The following is a 22962-nucleotide window of genomic DNA, read 5'->3' as shown; positions in this document are numbered from 1 at the left end:
TTATATTCCTTTGGGTATATATTCAGTCAATAGGATTGCTGGGTTGAATGGTATTTCAGTCTTTAGGTCTTTGAGGAATCATCATACTGTCTTCCCCAATGGCTGAACTATTTCCATTCCCACCAACAGTGTATAAGCATTCAATTTTCTCCACAACCTTGCCAGCATCCATTATTTTTTGACTTTTTAGTAATAGCCATTCTGACTGCTGTGAGATGGTCTCTCATTGTGGTTTTGATTTGTATTTTTCTAATGATCAATGATATTGAAATTTTTCAAGATTGTTGACTGCATGCACTCTTCTTTTGAAAATTGTCTTTTCATGTCCTTTGACCACTTTTTAATGGGTTTTTCTGTATCATTTTTATGATTGACACCTATGAGTGGTACTACTATTTCATAAAATGTCCTTCAATATGGGTCTGTTTTATGTTTCTTCATTATTGAACTGAGCTTATAAATATTTGGCATATATAACAGAAATGACAATATGTCATTTTCAATGTATCATATCAAAATATCCATAATATCAACATGTCATATTAGTGGTGATGTTAAATTTGATCATCAATTAGAATGGTGTTTGCTAGGTTACTATCTTTGCCTTTGTAATTAATAAATATCTTTGGATAGATACTTTGAGGATTATATTAGTAACCTGTTCTCAAGCTTTCTCCTACTACTTTTCACATACATTAATGGATCTTGTCTGCAACAATTATTTCTGTGGCACTTGCATATTGGTGTTCCACCGATATGCAATTTGAATCTGCAATAGGTAAAATGTGCCTACATTGAAGAAAGCACATTTTTTCCTTCCTCAGATCCTCAATGTCTATAGGGAATGTAAATGTATCTCTTTATATTGTTATTTTCTTAATCACTGGATTCCATGAAAAAATGTACTTACCTTCAGCCAATAACAAACAGCATCTCACTTTTCTCAGCCACTTTATTTAATTTGAAGCTAGATTGGAAAATGGAGTTAAAAATAAGACCTTGCACCATGAACCATATCAATCTGCTTCCTCCTTAAATACTGATAATAGAGGGAAACAACAGCAGTCTTATTTTCAATAGGATAGATGTCAGCAACCAAAAAACTTCACTGATATTAGGTATCCCTGTATTTGGGCTTTTAATGAAACAAATTTCATTATATGTAATAAAAATTTATTCCATAAAACAAAGGTTCTATTTGTTTAATTATTGTCTACCCCTCCCTAAACTGTTGTTTTTTCAAAATAATTATACTAATACTAATACTGAGGTACTATGTTCCCATAAAACCAAAGGAAAATTTCCCTAAAAGACATTGGGAGAATTAAGTGACTAAAAGTCTTCCCATCCTCCCACTCCATTAAGAAAAGGAGCTTAGGAGAAGTAAATTACAGAGTATACTTGGCTATGCCTTTGAATATATGTCATAGAGGAAGTCGTAACTTCCTTATATTTTATTTTCTCTAAAACTGAAGACTGGCAGACAAGTGATCTCTAAGATATCACATTTCAAGGAGCTTTCAAAATATTATTTACTTAAACAGTATAGTCAAAATATAAATGATACAGTTAAGCAAGCCCATTAATTTTCCTAACTATATTTTAATGCATTTAACTTATTAATAACGCTACTTTTTATTACACTTACCTCCTTGTCAGAAATTGCCTCTGACAAGTATTAAATAGGTTGAGAAAATGATTAAGCCTTATAATCTATATATGAGTAGGTTTGCTTTTATCATTTGCATATTATGTGGCCATCTCTGTATTTTCAGAGCTTGTACAGTACTGTCATTTAGAATATGTTTTGTTGACTCAATAGAATTAAATAGAGTTGAATGTTAAGACCATCCCTGGTTAGAAATGAAAGATCTTGACATGGTAGCAGAGAAACCCAAGTCAAATTACTGCTCACTCACTTCAAAAATATGTCAGAGAGCCAGTTTCTTCAGTTTCTTGACTAAAAAAAAGCAGTTAAAAACGCTTTCTTATAGATTTACTGTGCAGATTATATAATGCCATACTGAACCTCCTCTCCTATGATAAAATATATTTTCATAATATGAAAAGGCACCACTAGTAAGCCAGAAAATTAAAGAATTTCCAGAATATGTGATGCAAATGAGATTAGATCAAAAGTGAACCAAAAGCATCATCCCCCAAAACATACAACGCAAGCTGGAGCAAATTTCACAAGAGGAAAAAGAACTCTCATTATACAGCAAGTACTGAGTAAAAAAAATAAAAACTCTTAAAAGCTAGACCTATGTTAACATGGTATAAACATTTTCTTTCTAAAAGCATTGACTGTACCCACAAGAAAGTCTCTCGTTCAGGAATTAAGACCTGAAGAAAGAGCACAGCTAGACCTTCCAAATAAAAAAAGAAAAAAAAATATGTTCATAAAAGAAATTTACTGAAGTACCACCCACCTTCTTATTTTGAAAGCAGTTCAGTGCCCAACTTGTCTGCAACATAACACACTTCAGCAGAACCTACTAGTTGGCATGTTCTGCAAACTCATGCAAAACCTACTTTTTATTCTCATCCAGGAGAAGGAAATATTGGGAAATCAGACCCACACACCTCACAGAAAACAGAGCAGCAATCTCTACTGAACAGCATGACTATTTAAAACTGTGAACGAACAACTCTGACCACTTGACAATTTAGGAGAAGAAATAAACTAGTCAATAAAGAAAGTGCAAGGTGTGCAAACAGCAAAACTGACTTACACACATAATATAAAACTTTAAAAAGTTTACTCAGGATTCTCAGGAAGATATAGTTACTAAGTCTATAAAACAAGAAGTAAAGAAGCATGGGAAATATTTATTTTGAGTTAAAAATATCATAAAAATTAAAAATGACTAAAAAATAGAATCAATGGAACTACATACCTAATTAATAATCACAAATTAACTTGGGAAAATAATCCCTAGAGTCCAAAGCAAAAGAAAATTATGGAAAATATTAAGATATATGGAGAATTGTTCTATTTAATAAGAGTTCTAAAAAGAGAGAATAAGACAATTAACAATGTGATAGAAGTGTATTTCCCTTATCTGAAATATCTTAAAATTTTCTTTCAAAATTCTAAGAATAAATAAAAAATAATATTCTAGACAAGTTAGAACTCCACTGATATTTCAAGGAAGATGAAATTGCTTTACATACAAATTAGTATAAATTTTTACTATGAATTCCAGTCATCAATACCTACAGATGGAAGATAATATGAAATATCCTTTAAAATACTGAGAAAATTATTTTGTTATATCTAGTCAAACTAGCATCAAAAACTGTGTGTGTGTGTGTGTGTGTGTGTGTTCAGTAAAGTGAATCCCTACATATTTTCCACTTTTGAAAAAAATTACTGAATATCTTATGACTGGAGACTAGAAAAGAAAACAAAAAAGGTCAAAAATTAAATATCACAGAAAAAAAACTGTAGTTGAGTATGGCCCATGAGGCATCAAAAATTATGAAAGGAATGAAAAGACATTTCACTTTACCTTGAAGACTGAAAAATTCTCCTTCAAACAGTACATGTTTAGTGTTACAGTATTGTCATTTACTTTTCTGTAGATATAAGCACACTGATTATCATGCATTTTTTATTTATATGATCCATTAAAATTGTCTTACAAACTCAGTGTCTGAATGAAATATTTCCAACAACCTGGATTTATGTATAAATGTTATAACTGCTCCGAAATTAATTGTTAATTCTGTCTGTTCAGTTATAGCAAATCAATTAATCCTGCAACAGTGAAATCCCCCTCTCCACAGCACTTTCACAAAAAGAATAAAAGGCTTAACATTCCTTTTGTGGAGAACTGATCTGTCAGCATTTTTACAATATAAGTATTTCAGTCAAATCAGATGAGATAAAAGAAGCAATTTCTTTTCAATTCAGTGAAAAGAAAAACCCTCAAGAAGAAAAGCTTTATAATTACAGTCAATGAAGTACCTGTTACTATGAAAAGGACCAGCTAGACCCAGTCACGTTTCATATACAAAGAAAAACATAAAGTAATAAAGTGAATATAAATTATTTGTACCTATAAAGAAGTACTCCCAATTTCTTTGGTATGATTTTAGTTCTGTTATGAAGTAGAACATTTGTAACATATATCTAATGCTTTGAGTTAGGATTATCTACATGTAAAAATCAATTAGCATTTTCATAAAAGTGGATTTTTTTCTGTTTCAAGTGTAGTGTAGAGAACACGTCCCAGAGAAGAGCCCGTATTGCCTCCTATCACTTGTCCATCACCACATTTTCAGTTGCCGATTTAAGCCTTTACTTCCTCTCACTGGTATTTCAAATACTATAACAGGTAATAGTTGAAAGATGCCGTACCATATTTCTGTTACCACTGTAACAAATTTCTATAAAATTAGTGGTTTAAAACAATGCAAGTTTATCGTCTTATAGTTCTATAGGTCCCATTCGGCTGAAGTTAATGTGCCAGCACAACTGTGTTTCTTTCTGAGAAGCTCTAGGAAAGAATCTGTTTCCTTGTATTTCCAAGTTCCTAATGGCCAACCATAGACAGTCCTTGTTCCCTTCCCTTTATCTTAAATTCAGCAACATTGCATCCCTCTGACCATTTTTCCTTAGTCACATCTCCCGCTCTGACCATTGCTTGGAAAGGCTCTCTGCTTTTAAAGAGCTGTGTGATTACATTGGGTCCACCTTGATAATCCAGGACAATATTCCATTCTCACCATCCTTAACCTTAATCACATCTGCAAAGTCCCTTTTGTCATGTAAAGCAACATGCACACAGTTTCTGGGGATTAGGCTGTTGACATCTTTGGGAACCATTTTTCTTCCTATCACAGGTAATCTCCTCTGAACAGACTTGATCACTATGAATGGCATGTTTTCTTCTTCCTTGAATTTTTGTTGCCCCAGATCTACGTTTTTATTATCTTGTCAATGACCAACTGTGACCGTTTGTCTAGCCATTTCACCAATTACTCTTGCTCAATCCCTGTGGATCTCCTGTAGCTTGCAACAGATACGGAATCATTATTGTAAATCCTTTTGAAGGTTGGGTTTCTTGGAAAACAGAATGTGAGATAAAGAAGAAATTTTTGAAAGTTTGTTAAGAGTATGTTCTTGAACTATATTGTCTGATGGTTCTATAGGTCTCATTGGGCTAAAATAATTGTGCCAGTAATTACTATAGAGGATTACTTCTATAGTAATCTTTTTTTTATTATAGAAGAGAAAAAAAGGAAGCAGCAGAATTGGGCAGAGAACAAGACTAGTCTTAACAGAAGCCTCAGCTGACTGTATGTTGTAGAGAAGTTTCTGAGGCCAAGATATCTCTATTATCTTGTGTTGCAGTAAGAGAACCAGGCTTTTATGCTATAAATGCTATGAGACACTGAAAGCAGGCTGCCCAGTGAAAAGTAAGGCGACTTCTCCAACAAAGGGCAACTTCCAGAGAGGGCTGGCAGCAGAGAGCCATCAGGCAGTAGCACTCAGAACAACTGGAGAAGTAAGATTTTCCCCCCTCAGTAGGGATCTAGAAAGTTCACCATTACCATCCGCTGCTCAGCTCTGATCTTGTCTACATGTACTCTGGCAATTTGATTCTGTGGTCATAATCTTTGCTTGAACCCCTCATAATGCTGTCACTCACAATTGTTTTAAAAGCAAGCATTTGTTTATTTGTTTATATACACCTTTCCAGCTCCATTTTAACCCTTCTGGTAACAAATACCTCCAAATCAGTCCTGTCTCATTTGAGTGACAATAGACTGGAATAATTTGGATGGAGCCAAAGAATGTAATTTCCCTTGGACAGAGATGCCTGTTTATTACAATAACCCAACTTCTGTTTTATCCATAAAATGGGGCTGTAAGGGGGAGGCCAATACTTTACAATTTTAAGTTACATGCAGATGAGAACTAGAATTGAGAATCTCCCTCTTTTATTATCCTGTGCAGTATGACATGGGTGGATTAAAATTTAAGCTTCACCAACTTCTTGCTTTTGTGATGGCAAAAGATCTTAACTACAGTGAACCCTGTTTTCTTTATTTGCAAAATTTACATATTACCCACTTTACAAGGTAGTTTATATGTGCTGAAAACCATAATGATGTAAGATCTTTTTTTTTTTTTTTTGAGACAGAGTCTCGCTCTGTTGCCCAGGCTGGAGTGCAGTGGTGCGATCTTGGCTCACTGCAACCTCCATCTCCCAGGTTCAAGCAATTCTCCTGCGTCAGCCTCCTGAGTAGCTGGGATTACAGGCGACTGCCACCAAGCCCTGCTAATTTTTTTTTTGTATTTTTAATAGAGACGGGATTTCACCATGTTGGTCAGGCTGGTCTCGAACCCCTGACCTCGTGATCCACCTGCCTTGGCAAAGTGCTGGGATCACAGGCATGAGCCACTACGCCAGGTTGATGTAAGATCTTTAAAGCACTGTGGGTGGTACATAATTTTTGTTCAGGATTTGTTAATTTTGGCCTCTTTCTCTAGGTCATGAAAAGGTCATTAAGAGTCATCTGTCTTTCCCATATCTCTCTTCCCCCTGTGGTTGCTGTCCTCACTACTTAATACATCATGTATCTATTATAAGAATAGAAATATAATATTTAGATGAATTTTAACCTGTAAAATTGTTTTAAGGAATAATAAACTATTTTAGGAAAACTGACATATACAGTACACCATTTCCACACTGTTGGAGTTCAAATTTAGTTTCATTTTCAGGAAGATAAATATATTTTGTATGTAACTCAAGTAGAATCTAAATTTATTTATTTTTTAAATTGAAAGATAAAATTGAATATTTTTATCATGTACAACATATTGAAGTAAATATGCATTGTGGAATGATTAAATCTAGCGAACTAGTATGTGCATTACCTCACATAGTTATCATTTTTGTGGTGAGAATAATTTACTTACTCTCTCTTAGTGAATTTTTCAAGAATACAATATCACTACATTGCATAGATGTTCTTCCTAACAGAAATTTGGTATCCTTTGACCAGTATCTTCCCTGTGCTCCTTCTCCAAATGCATCAGCACCCAAAATCCACAATCCTACTTCTATGAGATGAGCTTCTGTAGATTTCAATATCAGTGAGATCATGTGGTATTCATCATTTTTTGCCTGGCTTATTTAACTTAACATAATGTTCTCCAGTTTTATCCATGTTGTTGTAAATGACAGGATTTTCATGGTGTATGTGACTGTATTTTCTTTATTCATTCATCTGTTTACAGACATGGGTTGATTCTATATCTTGCCTGTTTTAAATAAGACAGTAAAACACAGGAGTGCAGATATCTCTTTGACAACTGAATTCATTTCCTTTGGATATATACCCAGTAGTGGAATTGCTAAATCACATGGTGTTTCTATTTTTAGTTTTTTTGAAGAACATTCATACTGTTTTTCATAACGGCTGTGCTAATTTTCACTCTCAACAACAGTGTATTAAGAGTTCCCTTTTCTCTACATCCTTGTCAATACTTATCTTTGTATTTTTGATAATAATCATTCCAACAGGTGTGAAGTGATGACTCCTAGTGGTTTTAATTTGCATTTCCTTGATGATTAGTAGTGATGAACATTTTTCATCTACCCTTTGGCTATTTCTATGTCTTCTTTTGAGAAATATACACTCGAGTTCTTTGTCTATTTTTTTTTGCTTTGAGTTGTTTGATTTTCTTAAATATTTTGAATATTTATCTCTTATCAGATGTGTAATCTGGGAACGTTTTCTCTCATTCTGTAGATTGTCTCTTCAGTCTGTTGATCATTTCTTCTGCTCTGCAGAAGCTCTTCAGTTTGACATAGTACCATTTGGCTACTTTTGCTCTTTTTGCCTGTGCTTTTGGGGTCGTATAAAAAAAAATCATTGCCAGGCTAATGTCATAGAGCTTTCTCTCTGTTTTCTTATAGCAGTTTCATAGTTTTGAGTCTTAGGTTTAAGTCCTTAACTCATTTAAAATTGATTTTGGTACATGATGTCAAATAAAAGTCTAATTTTATTCTTTTGCAAGTGGATATCCAGTTTTCCCAACATCATTTATTGAAGAGATTTCCTTTTCCCATTATGTGTTCATGTCACCTCACTTTTGTTGAAAAGTCAATTGACATTAAGTGCATGTTTTTTCCTTTTGTCTCTATTCTGTTCCATTGGCCTATGTGTCTGTTTTTATGCCAGTGCCATGCTGTTTTGGTTACTATAGTTTTGTAATATGAGTATTTTGAAGTCAGGTAGTGTGATGCCTCCAGGTTTTTTTTTTTTCTCTAAATATTGTTTTGACTATTTTGGGGGGTCTTTTCTGTTGCAAGCAAATTTTAGGATATTTTTAAAATTTCTGTGAAGAGTGTCGTTTGTATTTTGAAACGAATGGCATTGAATCTGTAAATCACTTTGGGTAACATGGACATTTGAACAATATTCATTCTTCCAACCCATGAATATGAATTTTTTTTTCCATATATGGTCTACTTTAATTCCTTTCATCAGTGATTTTTACTTTTCAGTGTAAAGCTTTCACCTCCTTGGTTAATTTATTCCTAGGTGTTTTATTTTCTTATAGCTATTTTAAGTAGAATTGTTTTATGATTTCTTTTTCAGGTAGTCCACTGTTAGTGGAAATGCTACTGATTTTTCTATGTTGATTTTGTATCTTTAAATGTTACTGAATTTGTTCATTATTTCTAAGATCATGTCATAAGCCAACAATTACAATTTAACTTCTTTAATTCTAATTTAACTAGGCCCTCCAGAACTACACTGACTAGAAGTGATGAGATTGGGCATCTTTGTCTTGATACAGAGCTTAGATGAAAAGCTTTCAACTTTTATTTACTGAGTATGATGTTAGCTGTGGGTTTGTTGTATGCAGCCTTTATTATGTTGAGCAATATTCTTTCTTTGCCTAATTTGTTGAGAGTTGTTTTTTTTGTTTTTTTTTTTTTTTTTTTTTTTTTTTTTACCATGAAGGGATGTTGGATTTTGGCAAATGATTTTTCTGCATCTATTGAAATGATCATATGAATTGTGTCCCTCATTCTCTTAATGTGATATCACATTTGTTGACTTACATATGTTGAACCATCCTTGGATCCCTGGAATGAATCTCACTTGATCATGGTGAATTATCTTGTTAATGTGTTGTTTAATACAATTTGCTAGTATTTTATTGAAGATTTTTACATCTGTATTCATCAGGGATGTTGGCTATAGTTTTTTTTTTTTTTTTTTTTTTTTGGTAGTGTCTTTTCTGGCTCTGAAATTAAGGTCATGCTGGCCTTATAAAGGGAATTTGGAAGTATTTCCTTCACTTCAAAATTGTGGAAGAGTTGGAAAACAATTGGTATTAGTTCTTTAAATGTTTGTTGCAACTCAGTAGTGATGCCATCAAATACTGGGCTTTACTTTGATCAGAGACTTTTCATTACTGATTAAATCTCCTTATTCATTATTGGTCTGTTAAAATTTCTATTTCTTCTTAATTCCATATTAGTTGGTTATAGGTTTCAAGGAATTTATACTTTTTTTCTAGATTATCCAATTTGTTGGTATGCAATTTTTTATAATAGTCTATTATTATCTTTTGTATTTCTGTTGTACCTGTTGCCAAATTTTTTTATTTCTGATTTAATTTGTCTTCTCTATTTTTTTAGTTCATTTAGCTAAAGGTTTGTTAATTTTGTTTTCAAAAAAGCAACTTTTAGTTTTGCTGGTCTTTTCTATTGCTTTTATAGTTCCTATTTCATTTATTTCTTGTCTGATCTTTATTTCCTTCTTTCTACTAACTTTGGGCTTAATTTGTTCTTGTTTTTTTAGGCCTTTGAGGTGAAACATTAAGTTGTTCATTTGAAATATTTCTTTAATGGAGGCATTTATTGCTATAAATTTCCTTATTAGAACTACTTTTGCTGTATCTGATCTGTTCTGGTATGTTGTGTTTCCATTTTGATTTGTATCAAGATACTTTTTAAAATATCGTTTTGATTTTTTCACTAACTCATTTTTTCACTAACCCATTGATTTTTCAGGGCCATGTTGTTTAATTTCCATGGGTTTGTGAATTTTTCTAAGTCCCTCCTGTTATTGATTTCCAGTTTTACATAACTGTGGTCAGAAAATATATTTGATGTCGCTTTATCTTCTTACATTTGTTAAGACTTGTTTCGTGGCCTAATGTCTAATCTATCCTGGACAATGTTCCATGTTTAGTTGAGAAAAACGTGTACTGTGCATTTGTGATATGAAATGTTCTGCATATGTCTGTTTGGTCCATTTGATCTAGGGTATAGTTTACGTCCAATTTCCCTTACTAATATTCTGTCTGATGTGTCCCTTGCTAAAAGTGGAGGGTTAAAGTCCTCTGTGATTGAATATTGCAGTTTATCTCTCTCTTCAGATCTATTAATATTTGCTTTTTATATTTAGGTGCTCTAACATTGGGTGTATGCATATATATATATATTTACAATTGTTATATGATTTTTCTGAATTTATCATTGTGCAATGACTTACTTTGTCTCTTTTTATATTTTTATACTTCTAGTCTATTTTATCTAGTGTAGTCACTCCTGCTCTTTTATTTCCTATTTGCATGGAATATTTTCTTCCATCCCTTCACCTGAAGTCTATGTGTGTCCTTACTGGTGAATAAAGTTTCTTACAGACAGAATATAATTAGAACATAGTTATAATTGAACTTTTTTTAAATAATCACTTCAGCCACTCTATATTGATTGGAGAACTTAAATCATTTGCAGTCAAGTTAAGTATTGCTAGGTCGGTTCTTACTATGGCTTTGATTCATTGTCTTCTAGTTGTTTTCCACATCTTTCACTAATTTTTTTGTCTCTTGCTGCCTTCCTTTGTGAATTTTCTTTTGTGTTTATATTTTGATTCCCTGCTTTTAATTTTTTGTTAATTTACTATAGATTTTCGCTTTGTGATTACCAGGAGGCTTACAAAAACAATATAGTTATAATAGGTTATGCTAAGCTGATAAAAATATTTTAAAACCTTTACACTTTTACTCCAATCTCCACTCCACATTTTGAATTTTTGCTGTCAGTTTATATTTTTTATATTATGTATAGTGTAACAAATGATTGTAGCTTTTTAAATTTTGCTTATCTTTTAACCTTCATACTTATAAGGATATAAATGACTGACACACCACCATTACAGTATTAAAGTACTTTTTGAAATTGGTTTTATACTTCCTTTTACCAGCCAGTTTTATACTTTCAGATGATTTTATGTTACTCATTAGTGTCCTTTACTCTCAGCTTGGAAACTCCCTTTACCATTTAAGACAGATCTGGTGGGAAAAAAGCTCCTTCAGCTTTTGTTTGTCTGGAAGTCTTATCTCACTTCCACTTCTTACGAGATTTGCTGAGTATAGTATTTTTTGTTAACACTTTTATTTCTTCAGCACTTTTAATATCTCATCCCACTCCCTCTTAGCTTGTAAGATTTCTGCTAAGTCTGCTGCTAGTCATATTGGAACTTCCTTATATGTTATTTGTTTCTTTTCTGTTGCAGTTTTCAGGATTCTCTCTTCATCTTTGATCGTTTATAACTTGATTATGTCTCAGGGTAGTTTTATTTGGATTGAATTTGATTGGGGCATATACCAGGATATTTATATGTTTCTCCAAGTTTGGAAAGTTTTCTACCCCTGTTTCTTCAAATAAGCTTTTTACCTCCTTATTTTTTTCTTCTTAAACAGTCAGAGCTTAAAAATTTGCTCTTTTGATGCTCCATAAATGTCATGAAACTTTTTCCTTCCTTTTCATTCTGGTTATTTCCTCCCCCAAACTCCCCGACTGTGTGTAGTCAAATAACCTGTCTTTGAGTTCATAATTCTTTCTTCTGTTTGATCAATTATGTTATTGATGCTTACATTGCATTTATGTCACTTATTGTATTTTTTCAACTCCAAGATCTCTATTTGACTTTTAAAAAAAAGTCATTGTTAAATTTCATATTTTAGTTACATATTGGTTTCCTTATTTCTTGGAATTGTTTCTCTGCATTGTCTTTAAGTTTCCTGAGCGTCCTTAAAATAGTTATTTTGAATTCTTCATTAGGCTATTTATACATCATTATTTCTTTAGTATCAGTCACTGGGACTTTATTTTGTCTGTATGATGACACGTTTCCCTAATTGTTCTTTTTCCTTATGGTCATAAATTATTGTTTGTGCATTTGAAGAATTTACTGCTTGTTCTAGCTTTCAACGACTGTCTTTGTCTGGGAAAGACCTGTGGCAAGCAGAGAGCTGCAATGCACCAGAAGCTGGAGGCAGCTACAATTGACATGGCACTGGGACGTGGGAACCAGAAGCCCAGGGCCCACTGCAGCCAGCACAGCACTGGACAACAATAGAAGCCTGGGGACTCTAAAGGCTGCCTATGGCTGAGAGTTTTCCAGAGCTTGGGTCCTCTGAAGGTAACTCAACAGTGATACAGGCCAGAGGTTAAATCAGCAAGACTGAAGCCTAAGACTGTGTAGCAATGCCTGGTAACAGGGAAGGTCAAGAGGTTGTCTGTGGCTGCTAGCCTGAAGGATGGGGCAGTGGGTTCTGTCTAGTGCTTGGTTTTACTAAGACAGGCTCAGTGCTGAAGTTCAAAGCAAAGTCCTTTACTTATATTTTTATCTTTTCCCCAAGTGGGTGATGTCTCCCTCCATGCTTTGCTGGATTGAGTTGGCTGGGGTGTGATGCGAGTAATGCCAAAATGTTCTTCTGACCCTCTTAAATGCAAATTTCCCTTTAAAAATTGTTTTCATTTTTAATTATTATGGATAAACAATACTTGCACATATTTATGGACTACATGTGATATATTGATATAGCCTACAATGTGTCACATTCAAATCAGTGTAATTGGGGTATCCATCAGCTTAAGTATTTATCATATCTTTCTTTATGTTAGGAACATATCAATTCTACTCTAGTTATTTTGAAATACATGATAAATTGTTTTTAACTATAGTCACCCTATTGTTCTAATGAACACTAGATCTTTTTCCTTCTAAGTATATCTTTGTACCCATTAACCACTTCCCCTTTATCCCCACTCCCGACTATTCTGCCCAACCTCTGGTAATTATCATTCTACTCTCTATCTCCATGTGTTCAATTCTTTCTTTTTAGCTCTCATATATTTGTGGGAATGTGTGATATTTTCTTCCTGTGACTGGCTTATTTCACTTACCATAGTGTCTTCCAGTTTCATCCACGTTACTGCCAATGACAGGATTTCTTTATTTTTATAGCTGAATAATATTCCATTGGGTTACCGCATGTTCTTTATCCATTCATCTTTCGATGAACACCAGGGTTGGTTCCATATCTACACTATTGTGAATAGTACTTCAATAAACATGGAAGTGCAGGTATCTCTTATATAGCAAAATTATTATTATTATTATTTTTTGCTATATACCCAGCAGGATTGTATAGCAGTTCTATCTTAAGTTTCTTGAAGAAACCCCATACATTTTTCCATAAAGACTGTACTAATTGTTACATTCCTACCAACAGAGTATGAGAGTTTCCCTTTGTCCACATCCTTGTCAGAATATGTTATGCTTCTCTTTGGTTAAGAGCTGTTTTAACTGGGGAGAGATGATATCTCATTGTATTTTCACTCGCATTTCTCTGATGATCAATGATATTGAGCACTTTTTCATATAACAATTGGCCATTCGTATGTCTTCTTTTGATAAATGTCTATTCAGATTCTTTGCCCATTTTTAATTGGATTGTCTTTTTTCCTATTAAGTTGTTTGAGCTTATATATATACTGGTTATTAATCACTTGTCATATGGCTAGTTTGCAAATACTTTCTCCCATTCTGTGTGTTGTCTTTTAACTTTCTTTTCTTAGCTGTACAGAAGCTTTTTAGTTTGATGTAATACCATTTGTCCATTTTTGCTTTGGTTGCCTGTGCTTTTGAGTTATTACTCAAACATTTGCCCAGATCAATGACCTGAAGTGCTTTTCACATGGTTTATTCTAGTAGTTTAACAATTTCTCATCTTAGATTTAAGTCTATAATCTTTTTAAATTTGATTTCTGTATATAGTGAGAAAAGGCGGGGGTGGGGAGTTGTTTCATTCTTACTCACATGGATGTCATTTCCCCAGCACCATTTATTAAAGAAATTGACATTTTCTCAATGTATGTTCTTGGTACCTTTGTCAAAAATGAGTTCACTGTAAATATGTAGATTTATCCTGGGTTCTCTAATCTGTTTTATTGTTCTATGTGTCTGTTTATAAGTTAGTTTCATGCTGCGTTGGTTACTATGGCCCTATAATATAATTCGAGGTCAGGTAACATGATTCCTCTAGTATTTTTTTTCTTTTTGTTCAGGATGACTTGGTTTATTCTGGGTCGTTTTTATTCCATTGTAATTTTCTTATTGATTTTTAAATTTCTGTGAAGAATGGTTGTTGGTATTTTGATACAGATGACATTGAATCTGTAAACTGATTTGGGTAGGATGGACATTTTAACAATATTCTTCCAATCAATGAATGTGGAATATGTTTCAATTCTTTGTGTTCCCTTCTATTTATCTTACTACCTTTTATAGTTTTTATTGTCAAGATCTTTCACTGATTTGGTTAATTCCTAAGTATTTCATTGTATTTCTAGTTATTTTAAATTTTGCTTTCTTGCTTGGTTTCTTTCCAGGTTGTTCATTGTTTGCATATGGAAATGCTACTAATATTTTTATGTTGATTTTGTATCTAACGCATAAAAATTAAACAGTATGCTCCTGAATGACCAATAGGTCAATGAAGAAGTTAAGGAATTAAAAAAAAATTTGAAACATATAAAAATGGAAAAACAACATACCAAAATGTATAAGATATAGCAAAAGCAGTACGAAGAGGGAAGTTTATGGTAATAAACACCTATGTCAGAAAAGTAGTCAAATGTCAAATAAACAACATTGTGATACGTCTTTTTGCAATAAAAAAGCAAGAGGAAACCAAACCCCAAATTAGAGGAAGTGAAATAGTAAAGATTAGAGCAGAAATAAATGCAGTAGCCACTAAAAACTACAAAGATCAAGTAAAATAAAAGTTCAGTTTTTGAAAAGATAAGCAAAATCAACAAATCTTTAGCTAGACTAACAAATAAAAAAGAAAGAAGATCAAAATACATAAAATCAGAGAGGAAGAAGACATTACAACTGATACCACAGAAATTCAAAGAATAATTCGATACTATTATCAGCAACTATATGACAATAAATTGAAAAACCTAGAAGAAATGGATACATTTCTAGACATATCCAATCTACCTAGATTGAACCATGAAGAAATCCAAAACCTGAATAGACAAATAGAAACTAACAAGATAGAAGCTGTAATAAAAAGTCTTCAATCAAAGAAAAGTCAAGGACCTGATGGAACCACAGCTGAAAAATAATTAATATCAATCATACTCAAACTATTATAAAAAAATGAGGAGGTGGGAATACTTCCAAATTCATTCTATGAGGCCAGTATCACTTTGATTTTAAAACCAGACAGGCACAACAAAAAAGAAAACTATGGGTCAATATCTCCTGAACATAGATGCAAACATCTTTAATAAAATACTAGTAAATCAAATTCAACAATACATTAAGATGATCATTCATTGTAATCAAGTGGGATGCATTCCAGGTATGCCCAGATGGCTCAACAAATGAAAATCAATAGGGTGCATATTATTTATCAGCAGAATGAGGTACAAAACCTTATAACCACTTAAATAGATGCCATAAAAGCATTTGAAAAAATCTCAACATATCTTCATGATAAAAAATCTCAAAAAGCTGAGTATAGAAGGAACATATCTCAACATAATAAAAGTTATATATGCCAAACTCACAGCTAGTATCATGCTAAACAGGGAAAAACTGAAAGATGTGGAATAAGACAAGAATGCCACTTGCACCACATTTATTCAACATAGTACTGGAAGTCCTAGCCAGAGTGTGAGCAGACAAGAAAAATAAAAGGCATCCAAATTGGAAAAGAAGAAGTCAAATTATCCTTGTCTGCACATGATCTGATCTTATATTTAGAAAAACCTAAAGACCCCACTAAAAAGTTATTGGAATTCATAAACAAGCGAAGTTGCAAGGTACAAAATCAGCATATTTTCTTATTATCGTGCTACAAATTTGTGATCACTTACCTGCTAGCCCTTATGAAGGCATTTTCATATGTGAATAATTTACCAAATTGATAGTTCTATGAGGGAACAATTGCTGGAGAGTTCTACTTTGTCATGTTCAGAACCTAAATTTATATAAAAAACATGTAAGCAATTATAGTACATCTATTTGCAAAATAGGCATATAAATATAAATTATTCTATGTTATTTTACATTTTAAAGTATATTCATCCCAAAACTACAAACATGATGGAATTTGCTTTGGAATAAGTATGTCTCAAAGTTTTTTATATGATAACTTTACAAGTATTTCAAATGAAGAACATAAAACTTTTTCCTAGAAAATGTGCATGTACAGGTTTCTAATGACCATTTCGAGGCCATATGAAACCTGTGACATATAATCACAGACTCACACAGTGACTTTCAAACTTTATATTTATAAATATGAATATGTTTCAACAGCTGTGTGCATGCACAGATGCGTATGCACACATACACATTAAAGAGAATGTTCTTTAAAAAAGCCTTACACTCTATTATATGCTGTGCATTATGATATTTGCTGTTTTGTTTTACTCTATTCTACTTAAAAAATAAGTTTGTTTCCTAGCCTTCTGGGAAACCAATAACTTAAAGAAATGCCTGCTACACCATAAGATATAAATGGGCCAATTCACAGTTTGAAACATCCTGCTTAGGGCTCACAGGATTCCATAGTCAAAAGCAATACTTGGCGTTTTGGATAAAAACGCAGCTATAAGCTTCTGTGCCAAAAGTAACTAGACGTATCTTAGTTGTATTCGTTTTATAATTCTTAGAAAACACAGGGAAAGGGTGGAAACCATCATTATTAAGTGAAAGTCAGGCAGTTTATCTATTTAGTAGCCATAAAATTTAAGAAAATTCAGAATCATTTTTGAAAGTGCTGTAGAGAAAAAATCCAATGCATACAATACTCTTCAAATAGAACTTTGTCTAATTTCAATTCTTGAGCTATTCTATTATTATCATATTTATTTTGATGTCTTAAAATTATATTCTCGAACTTTAAATGAAATAAATATGTGTGTATATTAAAACCCATTTATTTCTAGCAATGGTGTATATTTTGACTTGATGTATTCCTGAACAGCAATTTCATTCATTTTCTTCAAAATAGAAGGAATTAAAAGCATATAAGAAGCAACGTCAGGGCCTGTTTTCATGCACTCACTTTGTTACCAGGTATCAGGACACACATGTATGACAGAACTGCTGACTGCATTTCTAATTCATACCTGGAAGGGGCTCCAACTATGCATCATTTGAAAGTGCTATTGTATCACAAGGCTGGTTACTGTAGTATTATAATTAAATAACAAGCCATAAGATTCAGGACTAGTCTAATATCACACACATTTTACGTTTCTGCCTTTCTTCTAGATTTAAGGTATCAGCAGCATATTATCTAACTAGCAATTGTATCATTCCTGAATCCTAACCTCAACAGTTAATGACTGTACATAGGGACAAGGTCTATGCAGAGCCATTGTCTGAAAATATTTACTTCTCACAGCATTTCTTTGTGCTTTGCTTCCAGTAGAATGCATTATAAATGTTATTCAATAAACTCTATTTTCCTCATCTATGAGGGCTTGGTAACATCTCAATGCTTGCTACATCTTTTAGAAGTTTTACAGATCTATAAAAAGATAGCTAGAAGAAAATTATTTTATATTAATATACTATTATTACTTTATTATGGTACTTTTTCATTTAATAAGGACTCATAGCACTTACAGTCTGTTACTGACTATTCTAAGCTCTTTTTCATCATCAATATTATTATTAATATCTTCATAGGCTAGGCGCAGTGGCTCACTCCTATAATCCCTTCACTTTGGGAGGCTGAGACAGGAGGACTGCTGGAGCTCAGGAGTTTAAGACCAGCCTGGGCACCATGGCGAAACCCCTTCTCCACACACACACACACACACCCCCACATACAAAATACAAAAATTAGCTGGGCATGGTGGCGTATGCCTGTAGTCCCAGCTACTCAGGAGGCTGAGGTAGCAGGATGCCTTCAGCCCTGGAGTTGGAGGTCGCAGTGAGCCATGATTGTGCCACTGCACTCCAGCCTGGGTGACAGAGTGAGAACCTGTTTCAAATATATATATATAAACTGTATCAAATAGATATCTTCATATCAGCTCTATAAAGTAAGTACTGTTACTATTAGTTATCTGTGTATCATAGAGCATAAAGTAAGTGACAAAGCTTTATGCATTTTATGACAGTTTTAACATCATGAGTTAGACTTAAATACCTACGACCATCTTGTTTAAGCAGCTGAACAACCTTAGATTTCATTATCAGCCTTTGGAATTCTTCCTATCTCAGAGATATAGATAGCATCCAAAAATTTTTTAAGCTTGTTTTTTTCTGGTGTGGCTTATAGAATTAAAATGACATTGTTAACCATCTCAATGGCTCAATTCTATCAATAATTGATTCATATTTCATGGCTCAACGTGCTTCTCAAGAAATATTTGTGTTCATGCAAACAATAAAGATGTGTATTTGTAAAGAACAACCTGCTTAATAACGAGAGGCAGTTAACATACTCATATTTTATCTCATATAGGAAGTAAGTATTGCAAATTTGATCACGTTATATACTGGTTACAAATTTCAGGGATTATAGCAAGTTTATTTTTTGTCTCCACCACTTGTCAACTTGTAGCATTCTATGATTTTCTCCCAAGCAGAATAATGTGGTTAAAATTCCTCAACAAGATTCCTTTGAGGCCCTTCACGATTCCATGAATTCTCTGGTAACAAATATCAAAATTTCCTAGAAATTTGGTTTATCTGGTTTCCTGGAATAATTATTGTACAGTAGATGTCATAAAAACTGTGATACAAAGTATTTTAAATCAGAAGTTACAAAAGTGTGAGTGTGTGAACTAATTCTAGGAAACGCTGCATGCTAAAACTGAATTTGGATAATAACAATATTTTTTAAACCATTAAAGGTTATATGAGCTCCTGCAATCAATAATACAAATTAAACTAGCATTTCCCGCAACTTCTTAATATACAGTCTTTTCTTTTTGCTATGTATAATTTGTGTTATCTCTCAGAGATTCCAGAGTGCAGCAGCATCTCAGATCCTGCAATAATAGAGGGAGGGGCTACTAGCAAAATATGAGTCTATTCTAAATGCTGGAGACCTTCATCAAAATGAAACCAAAACTTCGAGGGACCCCTGTGTGTATCAATAGACTGATTATGTTAGTGGGGAACTGTTGTTTTAGTTTAATGTTACATTAGGAGCATTATCTGTACAAAAATGAGTTATAAATAAACTGTACTAAAATACACAATAAAAACACAAAGTTTAAAAATCTTAAAATCAACGCTGACTTCTCCATTCTAGATATCAGCTTTATTCATAGCTTTTCCATAAATTTGCATGAATGATAAGTCATTCCACACCATCCTCTAGTTGGCAATTAACTAATGAAATACACCATATAGAGAGAATGTCAGTTCAACCAGCAAGTGCAGAACATGTTGTTTGCCTTCAAGAAGATGACAATTTAGTTGTAGGACAGCTAACATACAGAAGCATGCAGTTATATACTGAAATATGACATACATTTACTTATTTAACTGCCTGAGCAGATTCAAGTAGAACTAAAATGGTTGGATATGAGTTCATAGAGAATGCGAATATAAATTGGGTTCTGAAAAAGGGTTAGGAACAGAATAGGAATCTGTATATTCATAATGATGTCATGTATCACATTAGACAAGCTAAATAAATAATTGCATTCAGTGTAATTCCGTGTGTTGTGTATGTTGAATGTCAATACTACTTTTTAACTATGGAACAGCACAGAAACTGTTCTAATAGAAGTGTGAAAAAATACTGTCTATGATTTTGATTTGCTAAGGTAAAAGTTTAGGAATACTGTAGCCAAAAACCAGCTGATTTTTGAATTGTCTTCAAATTTCTCAAAGAGAATTCCACCTCCAAAGGTGGAACCCTCTCCATTTTAAGCCCATAATGGAGGCAAGGAATCAGAACAAGTTAAGTATGGGATATTGTTATTTGTTAAATTATCAACATAAATAATGCCATATCAAAATTATACACATTTGGTTTTACTTAGTAAATTTAAAATTTGCTTTCTACATTCCAGAATGATAAATTAAAGTGTTTATGCCTATTTTTTAATTATTCAGATGATTTGCTTTTTTTCTGATGGAAACAAAATGTAAGGATAATTGGATCAGGGATTATAGTATTAGGGAAATATTTGTTCTCCTTGTAGATGTCTACCTGTATTATTATTCCTCTGTATTATTTTACAGAAAATGTGAAACAGAATTTTATTATTATATCAGACAAGATATCTTTGGATAATATTGCTACATAGAAAATTATGAGCAACTGATTAATTAGATTTACGTTTTCAGTTTCTTGCATTGACTTGAGGCTGCCTATTTGAGAATTTTAATGATGTGCATTCATACACATACACGCAATAATCAAGGATGAAACAGGGATTAATTTTCACGTAATTTTGACATCTAGATACTTACTTTACAGAATTTTAAAGTAAACAGAATAAAATAATAAGCTTAAGACTCAGTTGCTTTTTGTGACTATAATGTTATGGGTACCAAATAAGTAGTGGCTGATGAGTTATTAAATGTATGGTTAAACACAATAATTAGATGATTTTTTTGTTAACATCAACTGAAATCTGTTTAAGTTCAACATGTATTTTTATTCCTATTTTTAAACAAAATTATAAATTGTTCTAATCAACTCAAGTAATAAAGAAATACAGTAAGAAAACCAAAATGTTCCCCCGTTTGCCTAATCTCACTTTGCAAATGAAACTACTTTTAAATACTTAGTGTATATTCTCCACACTCTAGTTAAAGCCTAGAGCAACAGGAATATACGAGTATACATTTTTATGAATTTACACATGCACATAATAGATTTTAAGCATGTAAACTACTATAATACAGGTACCGATAAAGATCTTTTTCTATGCCATAATATATTATAAACTTAAAAAAAGTCACTATATTTTTAAACTTACTAGAATATATATAGAGGTATATATACATGTGTGTGTGTTTGTGTGTCTTTGTCTCCTTTATTCATAGATACTTAAATATTTCTATTATTACATCATAAAAACATTACAGTAAGCATTCTTACACAAATATCTTTGTGCACCTATGCCGCAATTGTGTTATTTGGACAAGCATAGAATCTTTAATTGGCCTATGTAAGAAATAAGATTTAATATATGCTGACCTTTCTTTCTATGAACCATGAACAAGGTACAATCTTTTCACAAAACACTTCTGCACATGCTACTTCTCCTTTCCTCCTATACCAGCTCCTCCTACTCAGTCTGTGGATCCTAGCTCTTATATCACTTCCTGATGTTGCTGCTTAGATTAGTTACCCAATTGTATTTTCTCATAGAACCCTGTATCTTCCATCTTTCTTGCCTTTGTCAGAGAAATACACAGACATAGACACAGACATACACACACACCCCTCAGCATGTATATAAGCATGTATAATCTTTTAAAGTTTTATCTTCTTCACAAAACTATAACCTCAATGTAAGCAACACTATTTCTATTTTTGCTTGTGATTTTATGTCTGACATGTAAATCAATGCTTATCACATAGTAGGAGATTAATAGCTATACTGATTATAATGATTATAATAAGAGTAAAGACTACAACATTTTAATTTTGTTGCTTAGAATTTATGGATTAATTGGGGAATAATTCATATGTTACCATATGTATGCAAGCTTTTTTATATTCTTCCCAACAGTTTGAGTTTTGATTTATCAAAATTCTACAGGCTATATTAGTTTTCTATTGCTGTTGTGATAAATTACCACAAGTTTAGTGGCTTAAAACATTACAAACTTGTTATTTTTCAGTTCTAGAGGTCTGAATTCTGGGTGACTGAGAGGGTTAAAATGAAGGTTTGGCATAACTGTGTTTTTTTCTGGAAATTCCAAGTGAGAATTCATTTTCCTGTGTTGTCCACCTTCTAGGGGCCATTTGCAGTCCTTGGGTTGTGGACCCTTCCTCAGTCTTGAACATGCATCACTCCAAACTGTTTCCATTGTCACATCTCCTTTTTCTGACTTTGACCCTCTCGCTTCCCTTTTATAAGAATCTTCATGATATAATCACATTGAATCTAACTTAAATAATCTATAATAACAGATCCATCTCAAGATTATTAACTTAATCACATGTAAATTTCTTTTTGCCATATAAGGTAGCATATTCACAGATTACAGAGTTTAGGGTGTAAGCATCCTTACAGGGCCATTATTTTCTCTACCACAAAGACTTTGCACATTTTTTTGCCACTAAGTGTGTGTGGGTGTGTCGTATTGTTACTAGTTTGTGTGAATAAAATATTTGATAATATATCTTCTCATTAATTATTGTTGGTATTTAAGTTAGATGTGATTTAGGACAGGCCACTTTACTGAATCATTTTATGACTTACAAGTTGTTCTCTTTACTGGTTTAACTTGGATTTCTTGAAATATTTAAGGAAACATGTATTCCAAATACAAATTTTCTTTTCAACTACATGATTTCTGCTATTCATTGAATCAATTTATTTTTTTAAATAATACCTTAAATGTTTACTTAATCTCTAATTATTTTTATTAAGGTATCCTGTTCTTGTATTACCA

Source organism: Homo sapiens, chromosome 9, assembly GCF_000001405.40.
Source record: "Homo sapiens chromosome 9, GRCh38.p14 Primary Assembly".
NCBI classification, from domain to species: domain Eukaryota; kingdom Metazoa; phylum Chordata; class Mammalia; order Primates; family Hominidae; genus Homo; species Homo sapiens.
Note: the sequence above shows the minus strand (reverse complement) of the source record.